Source organism: Homo sapiens, chromosome 10 (genome assembly GCF_000001405.40).
Source record: "Homo sapiens chromosome 10, GRCh38.p14 Primary Assembly".
NCBI classification, from domain to species: Eukaryota; Metazoa; Chordata; class Mammalia; order Primates; family Hominidae; genus Homo; species Homo sapiens.
Genome location: NC_000010.11, coordinates 105804084 through 105824273, shown reverse-complemented (window position 1 = coordinate 105824273; position 20190 = coordinate 105804084). Strand labels below are relative to the sequence as shown.

The following is a 20190-nucleotide window of genomic DNA, read 5'->3' as shown; positions in this document are numbered from 1 at the left end:
AAAAATAAAGACAATTCTGTTTAACATAAGCGAGATTGGTCTGAAAACAATGAGAGAAAAATCATAATCACAAGAAAAAAGTTGGCTGTGTCTCTTCAAGCTCCACTGGGGCAGAGAGAATTAGGTCAGTGAAATTTGAGTATTATATTGCCATTTGAAAGGCTATCCCTGCTGTGGAGATGGACACATCAGGCTGTTTTTGTCTCACACCATTAAGCCTAAAATCATCTAATTCACTCTCCTTATTCTAATTCCATACTAATCAAGCAAACTTCTGATTATAATTTGGTTTCCCTCACTGGTCTGCCTATAGGGCGAAAATGTGCTGGCCATTCTAATGTGAGTATTCCAGGCCACAGGGTGCCTGCATTTCTCATTGTAAGTTAATGAATTATCATCCTGATCTATATTATTCTTGTGAGACATAGTGCTTGTCTTGTGATGATGTGATCTGGTTTGTATGCCCAGAAGACTGAGGTCCACAGATATCTTTTCACCACAGATGCTTCTCAGTGGGGCTTCTCAAGGCATCCCCATTGAGGCCCAAGCCCCAAACTCCAACATCGCCCTTCACTGACCATTTCCTATTCAAACATCTATTTGCTGTTGGTCATGACCATTAGGCTGAAAATGCCCACAGGTAAAACTTTTACTGTAAAAATTCAAAAGGTCTTGGTCTCTCATTACCATCTGTTTCAATATTTCTTTACTGATGAGACAGGAACAAGAGAAATGAGATTTTTAAAAAAATATTTCTGGACACCATTTCTGAAATCATTTGACAACTTCATACAAACTCAGTTCCCAAACTTCCTGAAAAGAGGAAAGGTCAGAGAGGGAGAGGACAAGAGACTATGTGGCAGCTCAGGGGACTGTGTGAGATCAGAGACCCTGGAATCTCGCTGCTCAGATTTGAATTCTGGCCTCACCACATGTGATCTTTACCAAGATACATGAGCTTTTCTATGCTGTAATTTCCACATCTGTATTAATAAAATGGAGCATTGATAGCATCTGACTTGTAGAGTTGTTATGAGCATTAAATTCAATAAAAAGTTTTAGTTAAATGAACACATAGTGAGTCTTGGCATTTTTAAAAAAAACTTATTGTACCTACCAAATATGTTAAACTAGTGGCTGAACCTACCAAGATTTGACCTACCAGTATTACAGGCCTTGAGTACCAATCTGCAACATTACTTTTCTGGGTGGCTGTTGTAAAGCAGTGTTAACTTTGGGTCTCTGTTAAACTCACACTAATGTGTGAGGCTTCTAAAAGCCTCTTTGATTCATTCTCTGGGATTTCAGCTAAAGCAAGGTTACTATGCGGAGGCAAAGGATTTATCTCTGTGCAGTGTTGTTGGACTGTACTCTCAGATCTGCCAAGGGGAGCTTTCTAACTTGGTCTTTATCTGAAACCCTAGTCTACGCTCCCAGATTCAGTGGAAGAACCAAAATGACAAGTAACAGTTGAATTTATTGACCTCTAAGATTCCTTCCAACTCTGGCCTCTAGGAGCCATGTCTGTTCACATCCATGCAATTTCTTTTCCCTCTTATTGGTCAGTGGTCTCAGATCAAGCTGAATCCATGTGCGAACCAGTGGAGATTCTTCCAGAGAATGAGAAACCTGATGGCCTGCTATTGCTCTAGGTTATGATGTAGGTTCCCACAATTTTGGAACACAAAGACCTAAGGTTTGCATTAATGTTGTGTAAGCATTTTATTTTCCTGTAGGCAGAAAAAAAAAAAGCTTGTGGTAATTTTTATCTTAATCTGTTGACTGTTGTTGCCACTGTCCTGCAGTGTAGACAACACTAGAAGCGGGCATATTAAAAAACAATAATTTCCACAGCATTCTCTGGACTTATTTGTATTAGAATTTGCCAGCAACAATTATTCTATAGGTCTTAAATGCAATAGATAGCCTACTTGGACATTTTCCAGGTGATAGTGAAATGACTAAAAATAGAAATTTTCTGTCTTCCCACATTCCTATACCTTGCTTATTGTCAGTGGAGTTGCTCCAGGTATAATCTCAAGTATTAAAATTGGAAGAATGTCAGTTTCACTAGATGTTTGCCAGATTCAATGTGATATAAAATATTTTAAAATCTGCAGTGATGACTCTTTGTGTAATGCACTGTTCTATCTCAATTGAAGGAAACAATTACATTTTAGTGTTAGGTAGATAATTGTCTTTTTATGTTAACATGATTCAGACTTATGCACCTACCTTTGCAATTCAGAATATTACTTTTGTGTAGCAAAAGTCAATCCCTTTAGGATTTCTTAATATACAGGCAGCATTGGAAACTTCACTTTAAAAATATATGCAACATATGCTAGAAATATTGTGATAGAGATATTTACTCTTACTACTCAGCTTACAGAAAAGCAATATATTTGCTTCCTAAGTGCCTAGTTCTTACACTCAATGAACATAAATCATTCTGTAGCATTCACAGGAAATGAAAATTTATTTTTGGAAAAGCAGTAGATTAAAAGTAAGAAGAAGATGAGCCAGAAGGTGTTATCTCTTCATCCTGAGCATCTGTGTATCCAGTGTCTTCCAAACTTCTGCCAAGTTCTTCTCAAATTTTTGGCCTTCCAGGTTGTCTTTACTGCATAAATGGAAATAATCTTGAGGATAAAATGTCTCAGCAATTCAGTTTCTATATAAAAATCATAGTTTTTGTTTTTAAATCAGTGACTTCTGCAAACAGCACTGGAATACACCTGTGGTCCCCAAACTTCATTCCAAATAGCAGCTTGTAAGTCTACCTTAAAATAGATTCATTTTGTTAACCATTTGCTATTTCCCATCAAAAATACAGGTCACTAGAGAGACCAAACCCGGCTATTAACATCGTGGTGACTTTATTAGTTTACCCAGCAACATTTATTGAGTGCTTATTGTGTTCCAACCATTGAGCTGGGGGAGAGTTGGCACTCTCAGTGAGTATGTGATGCCTCTACCTAAAAACATCCTGTTTATTTTGCCCGTGTAGAAGAAGGATCCATATGTAAAGCTTCTATGCAGAAATGTACTCTGGTGTAGTGGCAGAGCAGGCATTATTTAAATCCACTCCATGAACTGTTTTAACAACTGGCAGTTCCACAGTCTTACCTCCTTGTCTCCCTTGGTTCGTTTATAAATAATTTGCATGCTGCTTCAGTTCAGTGTTTGGGGAGTAAACTGAAATCTATTTACTGAAATGATTAATATCCACTCCTACTCAGTGGTACATATAAAAAATTTATTTTTTGCAAATAACTCATTTACTTGAAAAATCAAGTATATTAAAAAGGGTGAAAAGATCTGGTTTTTGTTATCTGTGTTCCATGAATCTTTGAAGTAGAACTCTTGGGGATCCTCAGTTCACCCCCCTTATACTACTCATGAGGGATGAAGGGACTAGGAGCTGACACCCCCAGATTCTCTTTCTGTATCCTCAGACAGTTCTTTTGAGATGTGAAAATATTTTCCCCTTAGATTGTTAAATCCTGATTTTAGCAAAGAAGAAGAAAAAAAAACACAAGGATGTCAAACTGTAACAGAATGCCCTTTTTCTTTGGGTATAGTTCTTTAGAAAAGATGCACAGCCCAAAATATCATAAATTTAGAGTGTAAAAATGACTAACATTTACACTGTTAATTATTTGTTTTGTGTGTCTGTGTTCTGTGTTCCACTTTGTGTACTGACTGGGTTAGTTCCTCTTTTTCTTCAGAGATAGGGAATTCCACAACTATAATTCTGATATTCTGTAAGTTTTTTCCTACCTTAATAAGTAGTGTGTTTTGCCCTTGTACTAAATAAAAAAATAATTTTCTTGGGATCTGGGTCCGGCCTGGTTCTACCACTGCCTTGCTGTGTGATCCTAGGTACATTGTTTGTCCTCTCTGGGCCTCCGTTTTCTCCTTAGTATAAAGAGTGCCAGGCAACGGCCAATGGCTTCTACAATCCCTTTCATCCTGGACAGTCCAGTGTTGTGATACCCTGACACCAAGACCCTTCCTTGGTTGTCTGGCACAGTGCTGCCACATACCATCTCAGGAACTTTCATTTATTTCCCTTTGTGTCCAAACATCAGAAAGGCTTTCTGAGTTGCTTGGTAAGGTCAAATCTCTGGGTAAAGGATTTTAACTGGTTTTTTTTGGCCCCCAGGTACACCGTTGTCAATTCGTTTTTAAAAATAAAATTTGGACGTTATTGTTATCCTGCTTTAAAACTTTTTTTTTTTGAGACGAAGTCTCGCTGTCACCCAGCCTGGAGTGCAGTGGTGCGATCTCGGCTCACTGCAGGCTCCGCCTCCCAGGTTCACGCCATTCTCCTGCTTCAGCTTCCTACAGGCGCCCGCTAATTTTTTTATACTAATTGTATTTTTAGTAGGGACCGGGTTTCACCGTGTTAGCCAGGATGGTCTCGATCTCCTGACCTTGTGATCCACCCACCTCGACCTCCCAAAGTGCTGGGATTACAGGTGTGAGCCACCATGCCCGGCCCTTTAAAATGTTTTTGAGAACTCCTTAACAAGTCCTCTAAGCCCACAGAATGTCATTCTTGATTACCTTTCTCCACTCACTTCTCACCAACTTCCTCCTCTCCTTTTATACTCCAGGCATAATTAAATGTTCTCAGCTCTCATATCAACACCAACATGCTGCCTTCCGCCTTATCCCAGGAACCCCCTTGTCCTCTGTGCTTGGCCTGACTCCTACTGATCATCCACATTACAGCTTAAATGTTGCTTCTGGGACATATTTCCTGAATACCTAACACTGCAGAGACAGGTCCAGGTGCTCATTGTAGGTGCTCCCACAGCTCCCTGGATCACTTTCTAATATTTTTTACCCATTATTGCAAATATCACTGGTATTTTTCCACTTCCATTTTATTTTCTGTTGCATGCTGTAGTTCTAACTATAGGGCAGGATGTAGAATAGGTGCTTTACTAATATTTGTGGCATAAATGAATGACGAAAAAAACAAATGGAATTAGAAAGAAACTTGTAATTCTTAAGAGTCCAAAAGGTATCTCTCTCCATCTCCCAACTAGCCAAGGTGTTCTTCAGCCTTCCCTAGGCTAAACTTCTCCATTGGATCAATAGCAGGTGGTCAACAAAGACAAAAACACCATCTTCAGAATGACTCAGATCATCCTCTTGGGCAGCCCTTTTTGGATATCTCTATGAAATTCTGCAGGTATTGTGCTGCTTCAATACCCTGATTGTCTCCCTATTTCCAATTATTTCTATTCATAATTTTTCTTCTGGCTGGCATGAAATATCTTCCATGATCACAACCCATGCAGCCTATTTAATATCCATTTCCTTTTCCTCCCCGGTTGGTACCATATACTCCAAATATTGGGACATCTCACTGTTACATCCCCATGTTTGTCTTCAGACACGGTTGTTTGTTCTACTTGAGATGTTCCCATTTCCTCCCAGAAATCCTAACCCTACTTACTCTTCAAGGAGCATTGTGAGCTTCTGTTATATCATTTGAATTGCACAACTTACTGGACTCACCAGTTGGCATTGAGGGAACCTCTACATCTGGGGCAGGTCCCAATTTACCTTTGTCCAAGTTCAATCCACAGAAAGGTTTTGTGGTACTCAGATTAGGTTTTCGAAAACATAATTAATTGCCAGAGTTCAAAAGACAAGAGGGCATGCACAAAAATAAGAATTTATTGGGCATCTCTTGTAAAAACATCAGGAGATCTGGCAATAGCAGGTGAGGCTAAACTCTCATAGAGCAACATTTGATGCTGAATTGCACCCTTCCCCTTAAATGGACCATGACCTATCAAGTTGCCATCATCTCACCTAACCCAAGTATGTTACTTGCTAGGCCCCATATGCGTTTGAGTTTGAAGACAGACCCTGTTTTCCGTTTCCCAGTTTGGGAAGAGCATGAAACAATTACTCCCTGAATAAGGAGCAGTGCTCACTATGCACACATAAATTTATCTTTTGACTGATTTTTTTATCTTAACGTTATTCAGGTAACATGAGTACCGAAAGAATTCATTGTCTCCATCTTCCTTGTACAGAATGTTCACAGATTCTTGGTGGCCACTGAGATAATAGGGAGGTGCAGACAGAGAGTGATTTCAAAGGCTTCAAGCTATTGCTTAACAACATATGCTCCTTTAAAAATACAGAAATTCATAAAAATGCCAACTTTTGGAAATTGAATTTTCTTTTATAAATCATTCTCTCTCTCTTTTTTTGACAGCTGAAAGCTGACACGCATAATTATTTCCTGTTAGATACTGAAGAAAAAAAAAAGCCCAGGAGATATTGTCGAGACTGTTTCTGGGGTGTGATTGGGGGATAGGAGATGAGTAAGTAATGAAGACTTTCCTGCATAATAGCAATATTGTTATTCATACTGTATGACAATTATTAGTTATTAGTTACTTACATTTTCTCAAAACACAATACCATTCTAATCCATCTGTGCCCAATTTAGAGAGTAGCTCTAACTTCTTCCATAATATTATTGCTGTAATTTTTTGTGAATACCTCCTAGACCATTCAGTGGACAGCAAACAGTGGCCAGCTCAGGAGACACTGATAAGGACAGAGAAGCCACAAAAGATTTACACTTGAAAGCAAGATTTAGTTTATTCTAGAGGTGCCCAGAATCAGGGAAATAGATAGAAATTGTGAGGTTAGAGATTTAGACTTAACATATTAAAGCATTTTAAACTACATCAAGTTATCTGAAAATAGTCTGGGCTTTCTTGGGAGTTGATGAGTTACCTGTCAAAAGAGGTGTTCTGGAAGACATTGGGGCAGGGGGTGGGACAGAGGTGGATGAGGAGAAATTACTTTTTTTTTTTTTTAAGACAGAGTCTTGCTCTGTCACCCAGGCTGGAGTGCAATGACGCGATCTCGGCTCACCGCAAACTCCGCCTCCCGTGTTCAAGTGATTCTCCTGCCTCAGCCTCCCAAGTAGCTGGGATTACAGGCACCCGCCACTACGCCCAGCTAATTTTTGTATTTTTAGTAGAGATGGAGTTTCACCATGTTGGTCAAGCTGATCTCAAACTCCCGACCTCAGGTGATCTCCCCGCCTCAGCCTCCCAAAGTGCTGGGACTACAGGTGTGAGGCACCCTGTGCTGGTGATGAGAAATTAGTTAATGGGGACAGTGTACTTTTTTTCTGGTGATGGATACCCTAAAAGCCTGACTTTGCTGCTAGGCAATCTATACATGTAACAAAATTGCACTTGTACACCATAGATTTTTACAAAACAAAATACATAAATCTATTTTTTAAAAAAGAATACATTGGATTACCATCTGTAGGTAGTCGGTACTGAAACAACTTCTATAGGTTGGTCCATAACCTCCCAGGTCACAGGTCACTTTTAGCCTAGCGACATAAGGCAATTTTATGCCTCTGAAACTCTAAAAAGAAATCTGTTCATATTTATTAAAATTTTAATAATGGTTTACACTAGTTGTTAGAGTTATGGGTCCTTTTAAATTTCTTCTTCAGACCTTCTGAATATTCTAAAAATGAGCACACATAATTTCTCAAACAGAAAAAAGTAACAAGTTTCAAAGAAGAAGTATTTCCTTTGGGTTGCCTAAGGAAGCCAGCACTGCTACTTGAACTTAGACTATCAAAAATGTAACTTTGAATCTTTGCAATAGCTAGGTATTGCATAAGAATAGCTGAGCTAAAATGCAGCTTCAAAACCTAATTTAAAGACCACCTTCTCCTTAAAATGTGTCCTGGTTATCTCAAGAGGTCAGGATCTCTTCCTCCAGAATTCCTTATAGCTAGCACCTATTTAACTGCTTATGGCCTGAAATTAATTGTCATCCTCTCCTGTGTGCTTATTCTGTGTACCCAACTAGACTGTAAACCTTGAGAAAGTAAAGTGTCCCATGGCAGCAATTAGCAGAGTATTTAGGGGACTTGTAGATGTATAACTTAAATGCCTCTAGAGTATCCATTGCCATTTTCAAACAAAGATAACCAGGTCTCTCTGGCAGGTTTATTTTTGTTCATCTTTATAATATTATAGATTTCATTCCATTACAAACAATAACTAAAAATAAATACATTAAAACATATGCATGAAGTTTTGCACAGATAAAATTATAGGGTTTTTCACAAACAAAAATTATTTGATGTATGTGTATCTGTGTGTATGTGAGTATTCCCTCAATACATGGGTGAATTATGGTACAATAACCTCACACAATAATCAGAAAGTTATTTGTATTGGTTTTTGAATGGAATATATTTCTTTATAATATTCTCTTGCCATTCTCAAGCTAAACTGCTTGTCTTTGTTTAAGATGTTCTCCCATCCTTGCTATTCTGATTATCATTTTCACTTTTCCTGAGCACAAACAAACTAATGAGAAGAGAGGACAGGAGACATACTTCAAGTGTATATTGTAGATACTTCAAGTGTATATTGTAGATCAGGGCTCTTACTCTTCTAAAACACATTAATATATATTCCCATTATGGAGAAAAATACAAATTTAAGAGATGTTTTGTGAAATTATGCTTGGGAACATAGTTATAGTCAAAGGGCACTTAGAAATGTCACTACTTTAGTTTCCATTAAAACATCTTTTTCCAAAATACTATACTTTAAATAGATGGGTTTTGTGTGCTAAACCAGGATAATGCTGATATTGGTCATTTTTGGTGTGCTTCTATTTTCATGATGATAATCATCTCTGGATAAAACATATTAAGCCAATCAGGCTCATCCAATTTTTCTTTTGAAGAAATAGCATACCAACTGTTTTTGGTGCAGCTCAATGTAGCCAATTTTCAACACTCTCTACAGTGGCTGTTAGATAATAATTGTTCAATGTGAGGTACAGAAGCATGGTTCTGTTGCCTCAAAGCTGAGCAAATTCCATGGTGTGATTTACATGTTGGTGCTTCTCAAGGGAGCAGCCCAAGGATAGACCTCATCTGAATCCATGTGTTTGCGGCTCTTTTCTCTTCTCTAATTGGCTTCTTGCACTCACAGATTTCTCCATGGAACACTCCTTTGACAAATGGCTTGCACACAAATCCCTCTCTCTGGCTCTTCTTTTCAGGAATAAAACCTAAGACAAATAACCTTAAAATTAGAGTGAAGGAAATAAATTATGTGCTTTGACAATAAATATTTGAAAATAATACTTATAGTAGGTAAGTGATATAGTTTGAATGTGTGTCCCCACCAAATCTCATGTTGAAATGTAATTCCCAGTATTAGAGATGGGGCCTGGTGGGAGGTGTTTGGATTATGAGGGAAAATTCCTCATGAATGGCTTGGACCATCCCTTTGGTGATAAATGAGCTCTCTCTCTTTGTTCTCAGGAGATCTGGTGGTTTAAAAATGTGTGGCACCCCTCCCTCTCACACTCTCTTGTTCGCTCCTTTTCTTAGCATGTGACATGCCTGTTCCCCCTTTGCCTTCTGCCATGATTGGAAGCTTCCTAATACTGCTATGCTTCCTGTGTAGTCTAAGAACCCTGAGCCAATTAAACTTCTTTTCTTATAAATTACCCAGTCTCATGTATTTATGTATAACAGCGCAAGAAAGGCCTAATACAATAAGAATGTCTGGGATAGCCAAAATAGAGAAGTAACAGAGGTTTTGACTTTAGAGCAGTGGTTCTCAACCAGGAGAAATTTACCCAACACAGGACATTTGGCAACATCTGGAGACATTTTGGTTGTGATGAGCCTGGGGATGGAAGTAGATGCTACCAAGCATCTAATGCATCGAAGTGAGGGATGCTACTAAATATTCTACAATGCGCAGGACATCCACCTACAGCAAAAAGTTATCAGGCTCAACATGTCCATAGTGCTGCTGTTGAGAAACACTGCTGCAGACCCAGCATCCTTCTTAATTCTTTGCATGTGTGTGAATGCGCCATATATAGTCCTTTAGTCACACTACATTGGCCCCTTCAAATTTAAAGGGAGTTTATCTACTTTTGTGCCTCTGACTTCATAGAATTTTATGAAAGACATATAATTTAGAGATCAAAAAAGTCTACTCAGCTGGGCACGGTGGCTCACGCCTGTAATCCCAGCACTTTGGGAGGCTGAGGCGGGTGGATCACCTGAGGTCAGGAGTTTGAGACCAGCCTGACCAACATGGAGAAACCCCATCTCTACTAAAAATACAAAATTAGCTGGGCATGGTGGCACGTGCCTGTAATCCCAGCTACTCCAGAGGCTGAGGCAGGAGAATCGCTTGAACCCGGAAGGCGGAGGTTGCGATGAGCCGAGATCACGCCATTGCACTCCAGCCTGGGCAACAAGAGTGAAACTCCATCTCAAAAAAATCTACCCAGACATAGGTTGGAATGCATTCAGAAAATAGCTGTAGGGAACACTTGATGGACCAAATCAAACTTTTCTTTTTGGGAAACCAAACTTTCCTTTTTGATATTTAATTTTCTTCAGTAAGTTAATTGCTCCTTTCTTCTAACTCCGCACCTCCAATGCCTAGCACCATTCTTGTTTGAGAAAAGGACCACCTCAGATCTAGCTTGATTTGTATCATGTATCTGCAAAGCAATTAACTGGGTAAATTTTGTTTTGTTTTATTGTATTTTTTAGATTTTTCTGACACAATGAAGTTAGAATCTTTTGTTCTGAATGCATTTGTGTATCATATCTGTGTAAATATATGTGTGTGTATATATATGAATATAAATACTCATATCTCTATATTATTTCTATAATAATTATTCATATTAATATTCTCAAAGATATGAATCCTTCTTCTCTTTAGGGGGAAAAAGTAAAATTAAGTATGAAGTTCTATTTGGGAACTCTAGAATTGGTGCATCTGTTATGAACATCCTTGGTAATCTCAGGTATTCTGACCACACACCCAAAAGCAACAATGTATATGACTTCTGCTACCTTATTTATTTTCTGGGACAATACACAGTCTCACTGTGTTTGAAATATATCATTCAAATCATCTGATGTGCAGGGGCATTTTGAGTTGGCTGACTCCCTTTTGTGTTGGTTTTGAATCCATCCGGTGCTCCAGTGCAATGCATTTCCTAAGATTATATGACAGAAGTAGAGCTATTAGACCAGCGGCTAACAGCTCCCCTCTAGCTCATCGTGGGGTCAAATGGAATTCAGGAGGGGGCTGGCACACAGGAAGTGGGGCGCTGCAGTGGCGACTTGGGCAAATTTGACCTGTGAAAAATCCAGGTTTACACAAATGCTAAATAATGGATTATTGAAAATAATTCTTCACTTTGTGGATTTAATGACAGAGTTTCTTTGATTTGCATTACTCCAAGAACATTTACAATATAACTTAATTTTCAACAAAAAATTATACAGAATGTTCCAGGAAATGGTTCTTTTCAACACTAAAATTATAAATCACAGACAGTGTTAGGCGAGATCTTATTGATTACACAGCTTAAATTCTAACATTTTAGCTCTGAGGAGAAGCTCTTGAAGAAGGATAATACCCAATATTTGAGACATCATGGAAACTGATTGGAAAGTTTCCGTTTTATAAATAAGTGACCATGTACCTAGAGGGGCTTGGCCTGGGCTAATGATGACTTTTCTGCACATACCGTTTCTTGTTTTTTTTGGAGAATTTCCACAGATACTGTCCAATCCGGGAATCACAATTCCCTAAGGACTCTCACAACTCCTAAGTCTGTTACTAACCTCAATACCAAAATTATCAGCCTTTCTAGGGAGATAATCTATCAACCTGATGGTTCAATAAATGCTTGTTAAATTGCATTGAACCAGGTTTGTTCACACATCCATCCCATGGTGATAGACTCTGGGGATACCATGGCAAAAACATACAGAGGTTTGGTAGACCAGCTACTCTCTGACGGGAAATTGTGGCACAATTCTAAGACAAAGATTGGGAAAGGCTTTAGCACTTCAAAACACTTTCCTCATCTGCTCTCTGAAGCTTGAAATTCTTTAAACAGTAATGGGCATCTTTAGGAAGAAATGAATTCTATGGAAAGCAAAGTTGCTTAAGCATTTAACTGAAATAGAGAGTGAAAGTGATTCAAGTATTAGGCAAAAGTGCTAGGTTAGATGTCCATTGTCCTGGACCTCAATGGTACTTGTCTGCCCTACAGCCCTTCCTCCGTCTTTCTAGCAACAGACACAGGCTACTTGGTGATAGGGGCTGGCCAGAACCTCCTCTGAGTAAGTGGAATATCTCTACACCTTGACTGTGTTTATTTATCCAAGAATGGGCTCATGACCTTTATTGGGCCAGTCAAGGCATTTCCTAAGATTTTTAAACTGGGATCTGGGATTTTCTCAGAGGCCAGACCTGCCAGTGACCCCACTTCTTGCCAAAAGTAGGAAACAGAGCTGCAAGTCAGCCTTGAGAGAAGGAGCCTTCATGCATGATAATGTCTATATCCAGAAAGAATTAAGGGTGGTTAAGTGGTTAAAAATGCAGGTTTTAAAACACCAAAAGCAATGGCAACAAAAGCCAAAATTGACAAATGGGATCTAATTAAACTAAAGAGCTTCTGCACAGCAAAAGAAACTACCATCAGAGTGAACAGGCAACCTACAGATTGGGAGAAAATTTTTGCAATCTACTCACTGACAAAGGGCTAATATCCAGAATCTACAAAGTACTCAAACAAATTTACAAGAAAAAAACAATTCCATCAACAAGTGGGTGAAGGATATGAACAGACACTTCTCAAAAGAAGACACTTATGCAGCCAACAGACACATGAGAAAATGCTCATCATCACTGGCCCCATCAGAAAAATGCAAATCAAAACTACAATGAGATACCATCTTACACCAGTTAGAATGGCCATCATTAAAAAGTCAGGAAACAACAGGTGCTGGAGAGGATGTGGAGAAATAGGAACACTTTTACACTGTTGGTGGGACTGTAAACTAGTTCAACCATTGTGGAAGACAGTGTGGCGATTCCTCAGGGATCTAGAACTAGAAATACCATTTGACCCAGCCATCCCATTACTGGGTATATATCCAAAGGATTATAAATCATGCTGCTATAAAGATACATGCACACATATGTTTATTGTGGCACTACTCACAATAGCAAAGACTTGGAACCAACCCAAGTGTCCATGAATGATAGACTGGATTAAGAAAATGTGGCACATATACACCATGGAATACTATGCAGCCATAAAAAATGATGAGTTCATGTCCTTTGTAGGGACATGGATGAAGCTGGAAACCATCATTCTCAGCAAACTATCGCAAGGACAAAAAACCAAACACCGCATGTTCTCACTCATAGGTGGGAACTGAACAGTGAGAACACTTGGACACAGGAAGGGGAACATCACACACTGGGGCCTGTCATGGGGTGGGGTGAGGGGGGAGGGAAAGCATTAGGAGATATACCTAATGCTAAATGATGAGTTAATGGGTGCAGCACACCAGCATGGCACATGTATACATATGTAACAAACTTGCACGTTGTACACATATACCCTAGAACTTAAAGTATAATAAAAAAAAAAATGCAGGTTTTAGAGCCAGACTGCTGGAGGTCAGACCTATAGCTTTCTATTAATTCTGTGACCTTAATAAAGTTATATGTTTTCTTTTTCGCTCAGTTTCACCTTCAGTAACATGGGAATAACAGTGTTTTACCCCATAGGGCTGTAGCAGATTAAAGATGTCTCAAAAGCTTTGATACTCCTCCTATGGAGAGTTGGGGTCTATGCCTCCTCTTCTTGAATCTTGGAGGGCTCTGTGACTGCTTTAGAATACAGGTTCTTCTGGCCCAGGCCTGAAGAACAGATTTGTGTGACTTGTGTTATAGACCATCCACATAGAGTTAGAATCTCAGGGTTGATACGCATTGTGGACATCATATTGGCATGAAGCTGAACCCAGTTGAAGACAAGTGGCAGCACCCTGACTCTAAAGAGATTAAAAGGAAACGTAGGGATTTATTAGTGATATAGTTTGGATATTTGTCCCCACACAAATCTCAAGTTGAAATGTAATCCCCAGTGTTGGAGGTGGGGACTAGTGGGAGGTATTTTGGTCATAGAGGCCAATGTTTCATGGCTGGGTGCTGTCCTTGCAATAGTGAGTACCTACGAGATCTGGTTGTTTAGGTGTGTGGCACCTCCCACGCCACTCTCTCTTGCTCCACTTCTCACCATGTGAGATGCCTGCTCCCACTTTGTCTTCTGCCACTACTGTGTGACTTGTGTTACAGAATTTTCTCTTTCATCTTTGTTGTCTCTTTTTAAATCTGTAATTTTATTATCATGTGCCACCAATCTGTAACCTTGTAATAAAACCAAACATAAAAGGAAACCTTTATTTATTTATTTATTTATTTTTTGAGAGGGAAACTTGCTCTGTTGCCCAGGCTGGAGTGCAGTGGCGCAATCTCGGCTCACTGCAACCTCTGCCTCCGAGGTTTAAGCGATTCTCCTGCCTCAGTCTCTCTAGTAGCTGAGATTGTAGGTGCCCGCCACCAGGCTGGGCTAATTTTTGTATTTTTAGTAGAGGCGGGGTTTCACCATGTTGGCCAGGCTAGTCTCGAACTCCTGACCTCAGGTGATCCACCTGCCTCGGCCTCCCAAAGTGCTGGGATTACAGGTGCGAGCCAGTGTGCCCGGCGCAAAAATAAACTTTTTATATCCAAAACTTACGTAGGCACAAGTTCTGTCTTTTGGCTTTTTTTCACTAGTATATAATTTGTAGGGAGTAGTACTCTCCATGTTAGCAAACATAGCAATGAAGAATTCACTGCTTACGGTCCTGTGCACTGAAGCAATAAAATAGAGAAATGAGGACAAAGATAGAGAGAGAAGAAAAATTAACTCAAGAGAGAACCCGTAGTGGTTATGGAGATAAGCTGACAGAACCAAATAGATGTCTGCAAGTTTGTGAGGAAGCTAAGTGAAGTGGGTACATAAGTATGTATTGTTAACAAATCCAGATGCTGTCTCCAAACTTAAGCCTTGTTTGCAAAGAGAAGTAGGAATGGCGGAGCTTTTATCCCATATTTTTGGAAAATTTAGATGCCATTTGTTTCTGAGGTTTTGAAAAACATTTTCCTAAAAATGCATCAACCTGTTTGCTTTTGGTTGCTCTCTTTTTTAAAAGTCACTCTGAGAGATTTGGGGAAGGGGCGTCTAAATTGCTCAGACTCTGATTTGGGGATCTAGGAGTCTGGGACAAAATTAAAGGTGATTCTGGTTAAGGGATCAGCAGAAAATACATATACACCTTTTTTCCTATGTTCACAGCCATCCAGACCCACAGGAAATGGGCATTCTTGCTGAAAGTCATGAAAGCAACTGATTATCTGCTAAGTGGAACTCCAGGGAGCATGTTCATCCTTACATCTTACAGAGGAGGCGACTTTGCCATCCAATTAGTCCTATTACCTTCTCACTGGATCACAAAGGCATTTATGGGAATAAGTCATTTTTTAAAGGAAGAGAGAAGTGCATTTAACATGAATAGTTGTCTAATAGCATCATTTCCCCATTTCTCCTTCCCAACAAAGAACCCCAGGTAGCCTTTGTGCCTGGAGGTGCGGTGGTTATTTCATTCACAGTTCCAAAGATAGGGCTGACTGGCCTGGGCGGGAACGGGAGTAGGGGGATGGGGGTGGGGAGGTAATACTCTCAAACAGTGCATGGTCTGGAATTGGGCATTTTATTAGATCTAATAGGCTGATCACTTACTCTGTAATTGTGAGAACTTTTTTGGTTTGAATTTTTGTCCGCTTGATGTGAATGAAGAAACAGGTAGGACAATTGTTATAGGCAGCCATCTGTCCATAAGTGCAACCAGACTGAGGATTAAGCCAATGCCATAACTGGCAGAACAGGCCACCCGGCCAACGCTACTGAGCTGTGAGATTGATGTACCTGAATCCTGCCCTAATACAGAACTTATACTTTACAATTCATTTCATAATCTTCAAGGCCGTTAGAGAAGGCTTTCCTGATACTTGTAGCAAAAATCTTCCTAAATTGAAAAAGAAATGATATCTGAATACTAAGAACTCGTTCCTTATTTTCTACAACTAAATTTTAATATGGGGAAGAGAAAGTGAAAGAACATATGAGGATCCACGATGACAGACGGGAGGGCTGGGTAAGGAGAGTTGAAAGGTCACAGAAAGCAGAAACTAGCAGAGCTCAAAGAAAAGCTTATTGAATTCACAATTTCTGCATGAGTGTTGTTTTTTGTTTTGTTTTGTTTTGTTTTGTTTTTTGAGATGGAGTCTCACTCTGTTGCCCAGGTTGGAGTGCAATGGCGCAATCTTGGCTCACTGCAACCTCAGCATCCCAGGTTCAAATGATTCTCCTGCCTCAGCCTCCCGAGTAGCTTGGACTACAGGCGCGTGGCACCATGCCCAGCTAACTTTTGTATTTTTAGCAGAGATGGGGTTTCACCATGTTGGCCAGGCTGGTCTTGATCTCCTGACCTTGGGATCCGCCTGCCTCAGCCTCCCAAAGTGCTGGGATTACAGGTGTGAGTCACCACGCCTGGCCCATGAGGTGTTTTAAACATAGCTAACTCTAGACTAGAGGGCTGCTTCTTTTATTCAATATATATTCTATATATATATAGAGAGAGAATATAATGATTTACAACATATACATATATTACATATACATATACATATACATATATTATGTTTATGTTTTAAATCTCTACCATGTACTAAAAAAATACAAAAATTAACAAGATAAACATTTCACCAAGATAAACATTCATTTAGAAATTCACAATATTAAAAAGTCTATAATAATATTTAAATTTGTAATAGTTCCTTAGAATTGTATTACCTCATCTAATCCTTAGAATAACCCTGTGGGAATGTTCATATTTCTCCATTTTATAGAAAGGAATCAAAGACTCAAGTTGCCATAGCCATATAATAAGCCAGTTGTGAAACTAGGGTTTCTATCTCAGTCTACCTGATTCTTACAAATCCAACCTCATTTCTTCCACGGTACTATCCTCCTTGGAGAATAGGAGATTAGGATTCACCATACCCAACCACTTTAGGTATAGTAATCCCATTTGGCAGAGGAAATTTTTAGGTAATACAGTGATAGTAGGATTCTTCTAAGACCCGAAGCTCTGAATCACATAAGGAGAGGGAAGGATACTTCAACAGGCCAAAGTTGTTCATTTGTTAGATGGCTTGAGATGATTTAAAATATGATCTTCAGCCACAGAACTGAAAAAGGGATAATGGCTTAAAGCAAGATTGAATTCATTAGCTCTAGATTCTAATGACTTAGCGCTGTGTCAGAACTAGCACACACTGCTCTTATAAAAGAACCAGAACAAGTTCTTTGCTTCATGATGGTACTTCATCTTTTCTGAGTAGAGGTGGAAGACACAATTTTGAATCACAATTCATAAGAGTTGTTAGTGTACTAAGTAACAGTGAATATCCTCTGCTGTTTGCAAAAAAAAAAAAAAAAAAAAAAAAAGACTGCAAGGAATATGTGCAAATTGCAACATAATTGGCTAATGATCATGAAACAACAAGGGAACTAGTTGGATCATGAACAGAGTGGGCAAAGATACTATGAAGCATCACTAGAGAACCGTTTGTGATTTTTTTCTTACATGGCTCCATATATCCATGATGTCGCAGCTGAAGGCTATTCGGTGGCTGATCATTGTGCATAGGTTAATGTCTAAGCTACTTGACATGCCATATACAGTCCTTATGATCTGGCTAATGTCAGACTTTATGCCCATGCTTATCACCTTCTTTCTAGCATCATATTTAGTTCTCTAAATTTACCTAATTCTCTTCTATCTCGAGGCTTTCATTATTTCTATTTTATGCAGCTAGAATATTCTCTTTTCTTCTCTTAGAAATGATAACTCCTAATATGCCTTTAACTCCTATTCATTCAGATTATAGTAGCTATCTCACTTGTAGACTACCCTATTGTCAATCCTATTGAAGCCCTTTTAATATTCTTTTAATATTTACTTATTTGAATTCTCTACCACTTTGGATGATTCATTGTTGTACTCCAAGTACTTGATAGGTACTTGTCAGGAAGTACTCTTTCAGGAAGAAGTACTGATAGTACTCAATAAGGAAGAAGAGTTTTCTGGACTGGGTGATAGCATAGAGTTCATATCATTCAATAAAATCTTACTGCATTAGAAGTCTATGATTTAATGTATTAATGAAAATTAAGTTGCATCTACCTTATAGTTTAAGATGGCATGTATATTTGATCAGACTGTGTATCTATATAGATTTATAGATATAGATGTAGTACATTCCTCAAGCCCCACAAAAATGACAAAAATGTGTAAGGCATAAAACACAAAGGAATGAAATAATGGGAGGTGAGACATAAACAAGATTTTGGAAGCTAAAAGCAAATGGAAAAGTGAAAACTGACTTAGCATGACCACAAAATTTAATTCTGTGCTTGAAGTAAGAAGGCCAGGAAGAAACCTCATGTATGAAGGTGAATCCCTAAAAGGTGTAGGATTTGAGAAAAACAGGTATCTTGGAAGTGGGTTTAACATGGGCCTAAGCAGGTTGTTTGAAGATCTTTCTGAGGAGGGACAAGACTCCCAGATATGCTCCCTGACTCTACACAGTCACATGCTGACCCTCCTCAACCTGGATTGATGACTAAGAGTTTATTCTCTGAGGAGAGTGAAATAGAGTCTATACTGGGGATTCCAGAAATATTTAATGGGAGAAATCCATATCTAAAAAATAAATATATAGAGAGAGAGTTAAATGTAAGTTTCACAGGGAATATTGAATTCTCCTATTCTAGTCTTCTCCTACATGTCTCCCAAAAAGCTGGCAGCCAGCTTGTACACTTCCAGTAGGAGTTAGAAGCAGTTCTCCTCTAAGATTATCTGACCAACTGAACCTAAAAGACCTAAAACTGCTGACATTAATGATTCCCCAAAGAAACAGCCCATCCAGATAATGTTAGAGATACGACCATCACCCAAAATTCCAACTGAATGCATAGAGTTTCTAATCAACACTTTGTTTCTCACTCTTTAATATAAGCAAAAACAGGGATGACTAGACATTAGAAGCAGGCATTGGATATGGAAAACAAAGACAGAAAACAAACACAGAACTTCTCAACTGTAGTATCTTTAGTTTATAAGCTGAACAGTTTCTATCATTAATATTCTTAGAAATATAATTACATAGCATCCACAAGAAAAGAACAGAGTGCCACATTAAAGAATATGCAAGGAATATAAATGAGTTCTTGGTGATAGAAAAATAAGTTAAAATAATAAAACATTTATAACAAAGTTAAAGAAATCTTTCAGAGAAAGAACGAAGGATACGTGATGAAGAAAAGAAGATTAAAAAAAAAAAAGAAAAAAAAACCTTGAAAAATTAAAGGACCAATTCAGGAGATGCACTGTTTGAATAATGAATGGCCCAGAATAAAGAGAAAGGAGAAAATGGGGGTGGATGGTACCATCAAAGATATAATTCAATCTTCTTTTCAGAACTAGAGGACTTGATTATACGGACTGGGTCCATTAGGTGGCCAGTATGTTGGATAAAAGCAACACCAAAGTGCATTACTGCAAATTTAAAGACATGGTTGATAAAAAGAAAGTTCTAGAAGCTTCCAGGTAAAAAGAAAAAATTCACATGAAAAATTAGAAATCATAGTTGCTTAGGATTTCTCTGCATAATAGCAACTCCAGAAGCTGGAACACTAGAGAGAAATATCTTCGCAACTCTGAGGAAATATTTTTCAACACAGAATTGTATGTTTTAGGTATGCCAGATTGTCAAGATATTTTCAGTTACACCAAAAAAAAAAAAAAATGCTTGTGTATGCATTCTATCTCAGGAAGCTATTGGAAAGTGAGTCGTATCAATATGAGGGAGAAAACCAAGAAAGAAGACAAAACAGGATATGAGAAATAGGGGAGTCAGCAAAAGAGACAGGCAGGAATATCCTTATGATGATATTAAAAGAGTTTGCACAATAGCAGTTATTCAGCAGGGTTAGAGAGCTACTTTCCAGATTAGAGGTGGTTGAAAGGGAGATTTAAAAAAAAAAAAAAAGATGAAATGGATAAAAAATTTAGTTTGATGGTATTGAGAGAAGATTTACCCAGCTGGTGAAGATTTGGGAGCTGGGCTCATGATAAAT

At 38.6% G+C, this 20190-nt stretch overlaps 1 long non-coding RNA gene across 1 annotated transcript in view; it reads left to right on the top strand.

Annotated features, from left to right (window-relative positions):
• The first annotated feature begins 3940 nt into the window (after positions 1 to 3940).
• Positions 3941 to 20190, top strand: part of LINC02627 (long intergenic non-protein coding RNA 2627) — a 146724-nt gene continuing 130474 nt past the window's right edge. Inside the window, exons 1-3 of the long non-coding RNA NR_120625.1 lie at positions 3941 to 4115; positions 5061 to 5206; positions 6248 to 6356. This is a non-coding gene — a long non-coding RNA (long intergenic non-protein coding RNA 2627). The remainder of the gene's footprint in view (positions 4116 to 5060; positions 5207 to 6247; positions 6357 to 20190) is intronic.